This window comes from Homo sapiens, chromosome 6, assembly GCF_000001405.40.
Source record: "Homo sapiens chromosome 6, GRCh38.p14 Primary Assembly".
Lineage (NCBI taxonomy): Eukaryota > Metazoa > Chordata > Mammalia > Primates > Hominidae > Homo > Homo sapiens.
Window position 1 is genome coordinate 24,834,261 of NC_000006.12, and position 14,744 is coordinate 24,849,004.

A 14,744-nucleotide genomic window follows, 5' to 3' on the forward strand; every position below is an offset into this window, starting at 1 on the left:
CTCTGATGCTCTTCATCTATGGTGGAGAAGCATATTCTCCTACATCTCATCACATGTCTGTTACCAAGGAGGCAACACTGCCCCTCTGCTGGGCTCCCGAGGGACCCCTAGCTCCTCACCCTGACTCTTGTCTTCCAACAGGTTCTGTGCTCTTGGGTTACCATTCCTCCTCCTTCTGCACCCTTCCTGCTTGGCTGATCCCCTTGACACTTTTTCTTTTCTTTTCTTTTTTTAATGAGGCCTTGGCCTCCCAAAGTGCTGGGTTTGAAAATCCTATTTGTTTTAGAGTCCAAATACTTTAGACAATTCAGCATGGTAGTACAGGTCTGCGTTCTGCATCTATGCCTACCAGGTGATCGAGACAGGTCTCTGAGAGACACAGAAAGGAGTAGAACCATTGTCACCCAGGCTGGAGCGCAGTGGTGCCATCACAGCTCACTGCAACCTCTGCCTCCTAGGCTCAAGCAATCCTCCCACCTCCGCCTCCTGAGTAGCTGGGACCATAGGCCTGTGCCACCACACCTGACTAATTTTTGTATCTTTTGTAGAGATGAGGTTTCACTCTGTTGACCAGGCTGGTCTCAAACTCCTGGGCTCAAACAATCTTCCTGCTTTGACCTCCCAAAGTGCTGGGACTATGGGCCTGAGTCACTGCGCCTGGTCTGGAACCATTTTATTAGCTTCTGCATTCTCTTCCTGTTCCACATACACCCAAGCAAGCTGGGAGAAGAATGATATTAGAAGAAAAGCAACCAGGCAAGGAGAAAGCTCTTAAGTAGATGCTTGAGGAAAAATGCTTTGTTCAAGACAGCTGAAACCCTTCCTGCAACAAAAGAATTTAAGAACATTTTGCTCCACTGTTGAAAAACCTTAAGTGGTAAACAGCTTGAGATGAGAAGGAAAATTAGCTCTGTGGTGTCCCAGAATGAGAGCTAAATGGTGATGATGATGGCCTAGAGAATTATATCTTAGCATTGCTAATAAGAATTACTTATTCAAGGTCCAGGAGACTGTGGTTAGATTCTTTAACACTTTCTTTTAGCTATCCAGGTGGTGAAAAACTAATTCATTTGACATTCATGTTAATATATATTCAGCACTACTGGCTTTCAAACTCCATTGCAGATGGTGGAATACAAATGGCTTCCCCCCACCCCCTTAATCACATTATTCTCAGGTACTACCAAATGAGTCAAAAGTGAGAGCTAACCATATGCCACCTACTACTGTGAAGGTCTGGAGAGTTAGGTTCGAAGATGAAAAACCCAAGGTTGTAGAGGGATGGGCAGGCCCATCAGAGTTTTTGACTTGGCTCAAACCACAGCAAGACTGTTCTCTTATTCCTGAATTCTCATTTCCCTGGCAACACTAAAAAATGAAAGCACACTTCCTGGTATGTAAATCACCTGGCATCTCAAACACAAATTCATCGCTGATCCTACCTGCACGAGTTGGGTGCAGTACTGGAGGTGCCTGACGATGGTGATGTCCAGGCTCTCGTTGCCTGTGGTCAGTGGGAGAGGACTTCCTGCCACACTGGTCCCAACTCCTGTGTCTTCAGTGAGCGCTTCACTGAGATGCCCCCTGGCTTCTGGGTGAACCGACCTGTAACTATTGAAGGTGGGCAAAACATTAGCTATTCTTTTTCTGTGCACAAACCACAGGTCAAGTCCACATGGTTTGCATCGGGCCCCAACAGCACCCACTGAAAACAGTCTTTCACTTGCCTATCTTGAAAAATAGAGACACCTTTAAAAAATTACTTAATTCAGCCTGGTCACCAAATTGCCTAGTGTTAAAAGGACATGCAAACAAATTGCTTTCAAAGTTCTTTCTCTACTTTTTAAGCCTAATGAACCACTTATGAAGTAGTTTCACCCAGAAGTCTTTGAAACATGCCCTCATTTTGAATGTGTTGCACTTTCCTGCTCTGTTGACAGGGTGATCTGCCAAATTTTCTGGAATTAAATTGTCCTCTATATTTGTGGTTTCCCAAAGGCAATACCATTAAGAAATAATCTGCCAAGGTTTTTTCCTGGCCTCAGATCAACTGCTACTTGAATAAAAGGAAAAAGGAAAGCTGCCAAGAAGAGAGACATGATGTTCTACTCTGGACAAAAGTTAAAAAGGGTGTTTGAATATTCAGAGGAATCGCTTAGTTCTGCCTCTGACGTTTTGTTTAAACCCCCTTGTTGAACTGTATGAAGTTATATCATGGTAGGCACCTACATTTAAAAAAATCTCTTGCATTGATTATCTAATTTTATTCATAAACTAAACCTGCGTACTAGGGAGGGTGGCAATAGTGGTCTTGTTTCACATGATTAGCAGAGATTTTGAGTGTCCTGGTTCACACAGCTAGACGGGACAGGGAAGATTTGGGCTTCTAGCCTCACACTCTCTGGTGTCCACAATTTAAAAAGATTAGCACCAGAGCTTAGAGGCTTTGAATGCTTTATTCTGATTCTGATTCACATTTGACTCCAAGGGGAAAACACTCAGTTTGTGTCTGGGCAGTCCACACATAGCAGCCAATACATATTTAAAATACACACACACACACACACACACTCTCTCTCTCTCTCTGTCTCTCTCTCTTCCCTAATACTTCTGATGACATATAATAAGATTGATCAAATTAGACATATTTAATATCAATGATGTATAACATTTATAAAACCTGTGCTTGTGATATTTTTTTGTTAAAATGTTTCTTATAGCAAGAAGAAAAAAAGTTTAGATTGATGCCTGACTTTGCTACATCCTGTAACAGCTTAAGGTAACAAGTATGCAGAAAAATTTTTGGATAAGAAGTATTTCACAAATTCTATCAAGCTAAAAAATATTAAGGCAGAACAATTTATTTTTATTATTTTTTTTGAGACGGAGTCTCGCACTGCCACCCAGGTTGGAGTGCAGTGGCTCGATCTCAACTCACTGCAACCTCCACCTCCCAGGTTCAAGCCATTCTCCCACCTCAGCCTCCTGAGTAACTAGGACTACAGGCGTACACCACCATGCCTGGCTAATTTTTGTATTTTTAGTAGAGACGGGGTTTCACCATGTTGATCAGGCTGGTCTCGAACTCTGACCTCAAGTGATTCACCCTCCAGCTTCCCAAAGTGCTGGGATTACAGGAGTGAGCCACCACTCCCGGCCTTATTTATTTATTTGAGAGAAGGTCTCGCTCTGTTGCCCAGGCTGGAGTGCTGTGGTACAATCTCAGCTCACCTTGACATCCTGGGTTCAAGCAATCCTCCCACCTCAGCCTCCCGCATAGCTGGGACTACAGGTGTGCACCACCACACCCAACTAACTTTTGTATTTTTAGTAGAGATGGCATTTTGCCATGTTTCCCAGGCTGGTCTTGAACTACTGAGTTCAAGCAGTCCTCTGGCCTTGGCTTCCCAAAGTGCTGGGATTATAGGCATGAGCCATCATGCCTGGCCAAATGTAGGATAATTTAAACATTACATTCATTTAATAAATTTTCTTTGCCATGTCCCCAGATTGCTTATGGGGTAAATTCAAGTTCTCATGTTTTTTTTTTTCCTGGTTTTATTTTGAAAAAGGAAACCCTTCAGGGACAACAACAAACAAAAACTAGCATCTTTCAGGGAGATTTGTGAAGGTTGAAATCATAGCTTGCTGTAACTTGAAAACCCATTTACGTCATATTGTGCCAAGGTAAAGATGAGCGGGCAATCCACCCCCATTTTGGGAAAGTGTGTTTTCTTTCACAGCAATTGATGGAGGTGGGTATGTTCCATTGTGCTTATTTTGCTTTATATGTAGTTATAAATTTGGACCCCAGGCTCTAGTTCTCAAAACATGATTTGGCTGCATGAGGACACCGGACGGTGAAGGTGACAATGTTTCACCTTCATCTGTTGCTTCCAGAGAAGGTCACATTCTCCACCTAGAGACATGCAGTACCAGTGGCAGTCATTGGTCATCCCCTCTTACATTCTACAAGAAATATGCACCATGGGACTTAAACTTGACTTGGATGCGTGCCTTGATGAACTCAATCTCTGGCAAAGACTCACTGGGTTGAAGGAAACATGAAGGGTTGGGAAAGGGAAGCACAACAAAACAAAGGCAGTGGAAGTAAAGTGCAAGCCAGGGAGAACCAGGCCCAAATTTGTCATCCAGTAAGAGTTCTTCAGAAATGTGTATACCTAGTTAATTTGGAATTAATTACATGGGGTCAAGTTGTAGACACTGAACCCTATAAGACACATGTGAGGGCTGGGCATAGTGGCTCACACCTGCAATCCCAGCACTTTGGGAGGCTGAGGCGGGTGGATCACCTGAGGTCAGGAGTTCAAGACCAGCTTGGCCAACATGGTGAAACCCCGTCTCTACTAAAAAAATACAAAAATTAGCCAGGTGTGGTGGCGGGTGCCTGTAGTCCCAGCTACTCCGGAAGCTGAGGCAGGAGAATCGCTTGAACCTGGGAGGTGGAGGTTGTGGTGAGCTGAGATCGCACCACTGCACTCCAGCCTGGGTGACAGAGCAAGACTACGTCTTAAAAAAAAATGTGTACACATGTACTTGTATAAAACACTCTCATACAAAATTTTCCTCTCTATTTATAAAGAGGAAATATAAAGATATTTATTTTCCCTTAAGCAACCCAAAAGAGGTGAATAATATTGACCCTTTTATTGCACTTGACAATAAAAAGGAACTGTAAGCCAACTGGTCACTCATGTGGAGAGTTTTATCTTCCTGGAAATGTGTACCAGGTCCCCTCTGACAGTAACAAAGAACTACTGTATCAGCTGTGACAGGAGAAATATAAGGAGACACTAACTTCAGACTTACCTGTGTTTCTCAGTCTCAGTGTCTGAAAATACTGAGTCAGCACCTCCGCCAACATTACAAACCTCATCACCATCCTCCTCCTCGTCAAAATCAGAGGTGTTCAGGAAATCAAAGCTTTCTAAAGCACTTTCAACTGTGAGACTTAAACTGGAAGACCTGCTGCGGCTTACTGCTGGCTTGCACTGTAAAGGCAGAAGGCACCAGGGAGAACATCAACATATCCGGAAAGAGAAACCAGACACACGATGCTCAATTGGAGATGCCACACTTTTTTTTTTGTTTCAAGTTTTTATTTTTTGTTAGCATTTAAAAAATGCATTTAAAAATCTTTATATCCAAAAAAGAAGTACAACCATGGATAAAATGGCACAATATCTGGGACTGGTTGCAGAAGAATCCAGAGGGAAGTCAGCAGGTTGAAGAATAGGAAACAAGATTGGCCATGAGTTGATCACTGAGGAGGTTGAGGGATGGGCACACTGGGATCCATTAGAGGATCTTCTCTACTTCTGTTTGAAATTTTTATAACAAAAAGTTGAAAAAAAACAAAAAAAACAAAAAACAAAACCATGTCAACCACAAAGCCTTGGGAAACAGAACTGCTATATCCCTCTGCCTAGTGCTCACCCCAAAATAAAATACCACAAGCAGACAAATTTTAAGTCAGTGAGTCAATGCTGAATACTGACCAATCTCTAATTCCAAGTGGCAATGTCTTCGGTGTTTTACAAAAGGCGCTAGCTATCTAAGGCATCTGCTCTAAAGGACTAACAAAACAAATCCCAGAAACAGGAAGTGGTTCAAATTCACCTAGCCCATGTTCCCTAGGTAAGAAGCCCTGCATCTTTTTTTTTTTTTTTTTTTTTTTTTTTTTTTTGAGACAAGGTCTTGCTCTGTCACTCAGGCTGGAGTGCAGTGGTGTGATCACAGCTCACTGCAGCCTCAATCTCCCGGGCTTAAGCAATCCTCTCACCTTAGCCTCCCAGGTAGCTGAGACCACAGGCATGTGCCACCACACCAGGCTAATTTTTTTCTTTTATTGCAGAGACAGGGTCTCCCTATGTTGACCATACCGGTCTTGAACTCTTGGGCTCCAGCAATCCTGGGCTTCCCAAAGTGTTGGGATTACAGGCATGAGCCACCGCACCTGCTCACAGCATATAATTTTTCCTCTGAGGACTGAGGAAAGAATGAATGCCTTGGGCATGACAAGAAGCAGCCCTGCTTCCTCTGGAGCTCTGCCTCAAAGGGAACAAGTCCCACCACTTCCCTGACCAGGCCCTGGCATCATGGGAGCAATCCCATTCTCTGGCCTGGAGCATTCTATAATGCTGGCCACATGCAGAAACATTACAAGCAAAACAATGCCAGTTGCTATGGGCACAGAGTTGGAGAGAAGTATTTCCAAATATTCAAGAGGATGCTGGGGTGGGTCGAATGGGACAAATTCTGCAAGTTAGAAGCACTAAATGTCCTCCATCCAGTTAGGTGACACTCCTTGCTGATTTCTTAGCGCAAGGTAGGAAGGGCCTTGCAGGGATCTGTCTCTGACACTCAAGATGGCACAAAAGCACATGGGAAAACGTCTTTCGGTCTTTTAAATCACAGTTGTCTCATTCACCCTCAGTGATCTCCGTCCAAGAGGCAGCACCATTTAGTTTCTGATCGTCAAGGTGTTTAGCATCCTAGGAATGTGAAGGAGGGAGAAAAGAGAAAGCTTTGTCCAGCTGATGCTTTAATTCTGGCTGGATACAAAGCCATTTGCCCCAGACCTAAACACACTCACTAGTGATGTTTTCAGCAGTCTCAGGGGGAGACAGGGAGTCGGTCTTGACTTCACCTACTTCTAGGGTCTTTTTTCCTAAGCAAGGTGTCTGCACAATTTTATCTTGTACAGTACAGATGTGTTTAAATATTGGTCATGACAAAGAAAGGGGCAGTTGAGGATTTTAGTAGCAGGACAATTTTGGAACAACAGCAGACTGAAATAATACTCTGGAAAGAAGTCTCTGATCACCAGTTTTTAATAATGCTTAGTGTTTCCTGTGGATTGAGCTACTTACCATCACCCTAGATGCCTGGAATGGGAGCTGCTATCACTACTGGATTTCTCTAAGGAATTCACTTTAGATGGCATCAATTTGTGTCTTAGCTCTTTGAAATGAATACCTTTTGCCCACAAAGCAAAGCTGGTCAACTTTGCAGAAAAGATAGGTGTTTAGTAGAATACCAGACAAGCAGCCTGCATATACAAGCCCTGAGCTGATGGTTTTGAACTGATATTTTACAGAAAGTAGATTCAGAGTGCCCTTCTGTTTCTCGGAGGCTATGCCATCAACTGAACTATCTGTCATGAGCATTTGAGGACCTGGAGAGTCAGGACCTGAATTATCATCTGCCTGGGGCACAAATCTCCTACAGAGTTAGGTCAGCAAGACTGAGTAGAGAAGGATAAGATGGTCAAAAAGCCTTGGAAATGTAGTTTCAGATGCCACTGGGCAGGCTACATATAAAAACAATCACCATATTTTTTTTTTTTTTTTTTGAGACAGGGTCTCACTTTTTCACCCAGGCTGGAGTGCAGTGACGTGATCTCGGCTCACTACAACCTCTGCCTCCTTGGCTCAAGCGATTCTTCCACCTCAGCCTCCCTAGTAGTTGGGACTACAGGTGTGTGCCACCATGCCCAGCTAATTTTTGTATTTTTTGTAGAGATGGGATTTCATCATGTTGCCCGGTCTGGTCTCTAACTCCTGGGCTCAAGTCATCTGCCCGCCTTGGCCTTCCAACATGCTGGGATTACAGGTGTGAGCCACCATGCCCAGCCAGGAAAACAGTCTTAGAAAGGGATGCAACAGCTTTCTGTGGGTTGGTTCTCGGCTTGCCCCTGCAACCTTACTTTCAAGCCTTTTTACAGACCAGGTCCCCAAAGAACTGCTCTTTTAAGAAAAAGGATCTGAGTTCTCTTTTCTTTTATATGACAATATAAATCAGAGCAGCAAAGAATACAAGAAGTAGCAGTGAGATTTGGGACAACAATTCAAATCTGTCTTCTTGTGCAGTGTTTTTTAAAAAATTAATCTGTATGCAGGTGGAGACAGATACATTCTGATGCAGCAATAATGATCTCATTATCAGGACCTCCCGCCTGCGAGGAAATCATCCTTCTCATCTTACCCTCCCACCTCCATCCTGGGCTGTCTGATCCCTATGGATTGAGGGTATCCCTGGAGAGTCTGTAGATCTCCCGCTCTAGAGTAGAATGGATGATTATTTTGCTGATGATTAATCTGAGATTCTGACTTGGTTATTTGGACCAATTGTGAGAGCAGGTAGTCTCCTCCAGCAGGCAGTGGCTCATGGCTCTCACAATGGGACGGATAACTCTGACTCCAACCAGGCAAAGGGCTCCCTGCTTTCCCGACCCCCTGAGAGGGATCCTATCCAGTAACGCCTGTGAGACTGTAATCATCAAAGTGCCTCTACTTCACATATGGGATTAAAATGATTAACTTGGGGACTGGGGGAATTTCAACATTCTCTAGAGCTCTTTGTTTAAATCCTAATCAATTTAGATAAGTTGATCTGTTGTTTGGAAAATAAAACTTAATATGCACTACTGGCATATTAGTGCCATTTAAAATGATGATGAGCTATTAATCCTGTGATTGGACAGGATTTTTTTTTTAAATGATACCTCATCTTAAATAGAATGTTGGCTTAGGACACCTCTCTCCAAACCTAATCCAATTTCTCTGAAAAGGTACTTACTTTTAGAATATCATCCAAATTCATGACTTCTTGGTTCAGATCCTGAAACTCTTTATACTGCTCTTTATGTGGTTCTAATGCAAGTAAAAGCCCATTAAAAGCATCCTCTAAGCTTCCATCTAGAAAGGATCTGCAGCCTTCAGATTCTCCACCAACAGAACCCTCAGAGAGCAGCCTGTCTGTGGCCATTGGCACCTCTGCAGATGTGAGCCTCTTGACCAGCTGCTTTGTGATGTTTCCTTCCGAAGTGTCCAGTTCCACAGGCTTGAGCTCAGAGGCCTCCTCAGACTCTTGCAGAAGTGCTTCTGCAACATCATTCTCAAGGAACAGGTGCTCAGCCCCAGCACCTGAGGACTGTCGGCGGCAAGCCTCAGATGGGGCCGAGGCAGGTTTTCTGGGCTCCTCTGGGTCTTCCTCCTTCAGGTGTGACTTTGGCTCTTGGCCTTCTCCCAGGGAGTTCCTGGAAGATGCTGAGCTGGTGTCATCCATACCCTCATTCTGGGAGGCCAAGCTGCTGAGGTTAAACTCCGCAGGGGTGATGGTAATTTCTGGATTTGTTGAGTTGGAAGGGGAGCCTGTTGAGTGGGAGGTGAGGGCGCAGTCCCCGTTGGGCAGGTCACTGAAGCTGAGCGACAGTGGCATTTTCTCCTCGGCTGCCTTTCCATTTTCAAAGATGTCATCAGGTAGATTTGACTATAGATAAAAGATACCTCATTATTATTTTCAATACAAATGATGCATTTGGCTTGGCATGGTTTATTTCCAGACAGAATATAAGGCAATTACAATGAAAAAACCCAGAACTTTCAGAATGTTAGCATTTTATTTGTTGATGCCGTGTGTGTGTGTGTGTGTGTGTGTGTGTGTGTGTGTGTGTGTGTGTATCTGGCAAAAGAAAACAGACCATCAAGGACTGTTTCTATTGTTGAATCTAGGTGAAAGTTCATGGCAATAGTTTCAAGGTTTGACATTTTTCAAAAGAAAAGGTTGCATGGGGGGAGGGGGCTTGTTTTCTGAATTCCAAGAGCTCATAATATTTGGCAGCCATAGTTATGAATAACATTACCAATTTCTTTTTCTATTTAGGCATCTATCTTAAAAAACTTTCCAACATCCATGCAATTTAGTTCCAAAGTTGTGATGTTTTGTTCTGCTTCAATTCTCAAAAATTATTTTTTTGAAAATCTCTGCCCACAAATCCCAAGCTCTGGAAAATGTTTTATTAATTTAGTAACCACACCATAAATAATTCAAGGCCAGCCATACATTTGCATAGCTTCTCTAGAAATAAAAGGAAAAGACTAATAAATGGAACATCAATCTTGCAGGAGGCAAACCCCAGGGCTCTCAGGCTGCCTAGAAACACCAAGTCATCTGTCAAGCAGACCTGGGTGGTGTCACAGGTACGCCCTGTGCTTCATGAAGCAGAACTCTGAAGAGAGAGGCCAGAAATATCCAGGTAACCAAGATCATTCATTTATTCAGGCATTTCTATTTTGAAGTCAGCTCTCTTGTGCTGTGGTCTGTGTATAATGCCTAAATGCCAAATGCTGCTCTGTGGAAAGGGCTTTTGAGTTACTGAGATTAACCCCTTCAAAATGGTTAATTTTTCTTTTTTTTTTTTTTGAGACAGAGTTTCCCTTTTGTTGCCCAGGCTGGAGGGCAATGGTGCGATCTCAGCTCACTGCAACCTCGGCCTCCTGAGTTCAAGTGATTCTCCTGCCTCAGCCTCCCAAGTAGCTAGGATTACAGGCATGCGCCACCACGCCCCCAGCTAATTTTTGTATTTTCTTTGTAGTGAGACAGGATTTCGCCATGTTGGTCAGGGTGGTCTCAAACTCCTGACCTCAGGTGATCCGCCTGCCTCAGCCTCCCAAAGTGCTGGGATTACAGGCGTGAGCCACCGCGCCTGGCCCAAAATGGTTAATTTTTCTTAGATCCCAGATTCAGTTTTTAAAGTAAATAAATGGTAAGTATCATGCTAATAATTGTTTTAATTATATAGAAACTGACAAATTCTCAAAATTTGCTGGGAATAAGCCCGGCAAATAAAAACATTACAGCAAATGCAGTGAAGAGCAGAAGGGAAGACAAAGGCTCCCCTTCCTCCTCCAGCTGGGTCCCTGGTCCCATTGCTGCTGTATCTGAGGCCACTAGATCCCGACACATGCAGTTCGTTGCACCCAAACTGTCCGTTGTAGCATGGTTGGAAGGTGACTTACTTTAACCACAGGACGAGTGAAATGATGTGTCACTGGACACTTGAGTAACCTCTACAAGCTCTGTCTCTTTACCTCCCAAACTGAGGATGTTTTACTCTATTAGTGATTATTGAACTGTGGTCCACAATGTTGTTGGTGTGGTGGGCTCTGGTGCTCCTCTTCCTCCCCTCCAAGCTTGTGTATTTCAGTTTCTTCCCTCCCGTATTTGCACCCCCCACCTCATATACACCTTATGTCTCTAGGAAAGATAAAAGGAATCTTTTAGGGGAGGGATGAAGGATGCCTGGAGCCTTCTCCCTAGACCTCATCCATGGGGGTTCCTTAGGCTTCTAGAACCCATGGGCCCTCCATGTGGTTCCACTCAGCTTTGTCTGATCTGTGCACACATCTCATGGCAGCACAGAGGGAGGTGGGAGACACTGGGTATGGCAGGGAGATTGGGTAGTCAGGATTCTTATTCAAATTCCAAAGTCCTTCCCAGCCATTTGTCTTGAGACTCCAAGACTCAAGCTCAATTTCCACCTACTTAAGTGGCAAATATTGAGTGAGAATAAATTGAGATGCCCTGCCCAAGGGGACTTGCAGTCTACCAAGGGGACAAGTCTAACAACAAGCACACAACAGTACAATGGTGTACACGCTATAACTGAGGGATGACATCATGAGGGAAGGGCCCCAATGAGGGAGTGGCTGCTGCCTGTGAAAGAGCCAATCCTGGAGCTCAGTGTGGAAGATGGTGAAGTAGGGGGCAGGCACCGGAGGAAGTGCGTTCTAGAAGGAACAACATGCAAAGACATGAGCTCCTGAAAGGAGGTGGTGCATTTGGAGGACACTGAGAAGCTCCAAGGGGCCCCAGCAGAGGATAGAGAGTGAAAACGTGGGATGGGCTTGTGGTGGGCTGTGGCCAGATGGGAACAGCCGCTCTGAGGACCTTTGCATTTATCTAAAAGGTTTTATCAGGAAAGCCATCCAGTTGTTTTCTAACCTTGTTCTTATTTAAATTATGACGTGAAACCTCTACCAACTCTCGCCCACAACCCCCAACCTGTAGCACATGAACATATGAGCATGAATATACATGTTATGTTAACGGTTGCGTGTATAGCTGTGTTAGCTCTTTGTGTTTTGGTTCATGTTTTCATGTGTATTTCCCCCATACAATCTTCCCATTTTCCCTGAAAACTCCACCAGAGTTTAGCCTGGTCCTTTTCACCTGCCTTTTTTTTTTTTTTTTTTTTTTTGAGACAAGGTCTTGCTCTGTTGTCCAGACTGGACTGCAGTGGTGCAATCATAACTCACTGCAGCCTCAACCTCCTGGGCTTCAGTGATCTCCTGCTTCAGTCTCCTGGGTAGTTGGGACCACAAGTGTGTACCACCACAACAGGGTAATTTTTAAATTTTTTGTAGAGACGGGGTCTCACTTTGTTGCCCAGGCTGGTCTTGAACTCCTGGGCTCAAGCAATCCACCTGCCTTGGCCTCACAAGGTGCTGGGATTATAGGTGTGAGCTACCATGTTCAGCCTTCACCTGCATTTTTTAATTCAATGAAAACGATGCAATTATTATTATTATGAACCCAAAGACTTTTAATCCTTTCCTCTGTTGACACTCAAAGCTTCGTTTTATACATCTGTGAAGAGCAGGATGTTCCATGTATGTGTGTGTGCATGCATGTGTGTGTGTATCCTCTGGTGACATAATGTATAATATATAATACTTATTGTATTCCTGACTGTGAATTAAGGATATCTTTTTATCGAAGTGTTATAGAATTAACAAACATTATAATAAACTAAGACTGAGAACCTTTCAAATAGAAGTAGCTCTAGTAAAATTCATTGAAATCCTTTTGAGTTCCTTGAATGCCAATTTTTTGTTTGTTTGTTTTTGAGATGGAGTTTGCTGCTGCCCAGGCTGGAGTGCAATGGCACCATCTTGGCTAACTGCAACCTCTGCCTCCTGGGTTCAAGTGATCCTCTCACCTCAGCCTCCCAAGTAGCTGGGACTACATGCACATGCCTCCATTCCTGGCTAATTTTTGTATTTTTTAGTAGAGGCAGGGTTTGACCATGTTGGCCAGGCTGGTCTTGAATGCCTGAGCTCAAGCGATCCACCCACCTCAGCCTCCCAAAGTGCTGGGATTACAGGCGTGAGCCACCATGCTGGGCCGAATGCCAGTTTTTGAAAGGCTTAAACTTGTTTAAAATCTTGTTACCATGGATATCTTTGCCACAATGGAGAAAAATCACAGCACAAAAACAGGGATCATTAGAAGAGAAGGACAAACTGCGTCTCTATCAAAGTTACATGCACGACCAAGTGTCCCGCCCCAAGGACAGTACAGCTGTAACCATACCCAGTGAGCAAGACAGAGAAGATAAAACAAGAGACATGCTAAGTCACACATGCCACAAGCCCCAGAAGTCAAGCACTCCATACCCGGGCAGGCCACACTCACATAGAGCTCTAGCACGGCCTTGGGACTCGGCCTGAGGGAGGGCAGGTCACTGAAGGAGCGGCTGCGGTGCAGCTTGGCAAAGAAAGTGTCTTGCAAGGCACTCAAGACAGACAGCCGCCTGGGCTTGTCTGGGGAAGGATGCAGCCACCTCTTCAGAAGTGAAAGCAAGATGGGGGAGTTAGTGGGAAGAATCAGGTTACTACATTTTGTTAGCTTTTTAGCAAGCATTTTTGATTAAAACAAGGAGGCTATTATTTATATGCACTTCTTTAAAAGGCTGATCTTAGAGAATGTTCAGAAAAATCTACATGTTACCATCACAGCAATAGGTAAGGTGGGCAAGGAGAGAGGAAAAACAGAGGAGGCTCACCACCTCTGATAGAATTACTAACTCCCAGCACTGTCTCTTAAGCATTTCAAATGCTGGGTGCAAGCACTGGCTCAGGTGCATTGATTCTACTCGGGAAATTACACTGAACTTACAAAGAAGGAGTGGTCTTTGAAGGTGGGCGTTTCCGGGGTACCCTGGCTGTACATGGACATTCTCCTCTGAAGGGCTGCTGCCTTGTTCCCAGCGCCTGAGGATGCGGTCATGTCCTCCACGTCAAATGGACTGCAAAACAACAGGTCCCCAGGTATGCACATTTGGCAAAATCACCTATCATCAACAGACCACAGGCTAAGAGAGTACCTCATTATATAAAGGTAAACTCAACCAGAGGTTCAGAACTGGGCTGGTTTTAGCTAAACTGCTTTGCAGAAAATAAACCTGGATAAAAGAAAAGTGGAGCAGAAAACTGAGTCTAGACTCACCCAAGGGACCCCAGAATATTATCACAGCTCTAAGCACAATTTAGCTATACACTTAGATACACCCGTTCCTCATTAACATTAGAAACACAAATTTATGAATGCTTGCTTCGACAAAACAAGATGTTGAAAAGTCTATAAAAATTATCTGAACTTTGCGGGGCTAGATACCTTAATGGTATAAGACATCGACAGACTATTGTTCCATTCTAAAGAAAACACTCAAAAATAGAATCCCATTCATTTCAGTTGACACAGAGCCTCTTGTGTGGGAAGAGAATAACAGTCTGTTCACAATGATGCCACTTAACATCATGGCACCCGATTCATCCAGCAAGAAGAATGATCTTGCATGTGAGACATCAATGACTGCAGATTGTGGGGAGGGAAGGGCTGAGCAAAGCATGCTGATGATGACAAAGCAAGAGTGTCTTTGCTGCTTCTACACCTGGCTTTCCATATTGTAAATGAGACCCTGAGCATGAATACTCAACATGTCATATTTACTTGGCAATATACCGGGGGCATTACATTAAATGTTGTGAACTACTAGTGGTTTTTGTTTTTTTGGAGATGGAGTTTTGCTCTTGTTGCCCAGGCTGGAGTGCAATGGCACGATCTCAGCTCACTGCAACCTCTGCCTCCCGGATTCA

At 44.0% G+C, this 14,744-nt stretch overlaps 1 protein-coding gene across 16 annotated transcripts in view; it reads right to left on the reverse strand.

The window, feature by feature from the left end:
• RIPOR2 (RHO family interacting cell polarization regulator 2) overlaps window positions 1–14,744 on the reverse strand; it is a 237,885-nt gene that overhangs the window by 29,977 nt on the left and 193,164 nt on the right. For 5 of the 16 annotated variants that reach the window (XM_006715275.3, NM_001286445.3, NM_001346031.2 and 2 more), the window contains exons 12-15: window positions 13,765–13,894; window positions 8,602–9,294; window positions 4,831–5,012; window positions 1,443–1,611 (exon numbers count right to left, since the gene is read on the reverse strand). In XM_006715275.3, the coding sequence (XP_006715338.1) occupies window positions 1,443–1,611; window positions 4,831–5,012; window positions 8,602–9,294; window positions 13,765–13,894 (1,174 nt within the window). Of the gene's footprint in view, window positions 1–1,442; window positions 1,612–4,830; window positions 5,013–5,083; window positions 6,516–8,601; window positions 9,295–13,281; window positions 13,432–13,764; window positions 13,895–14,744 lie in introns of those variants that run through there. The other 11 variants (NM_001286446.3, XM_017011524.2, XM_047419593.1 and 8 more) reach the window with 5 other exon arrangements.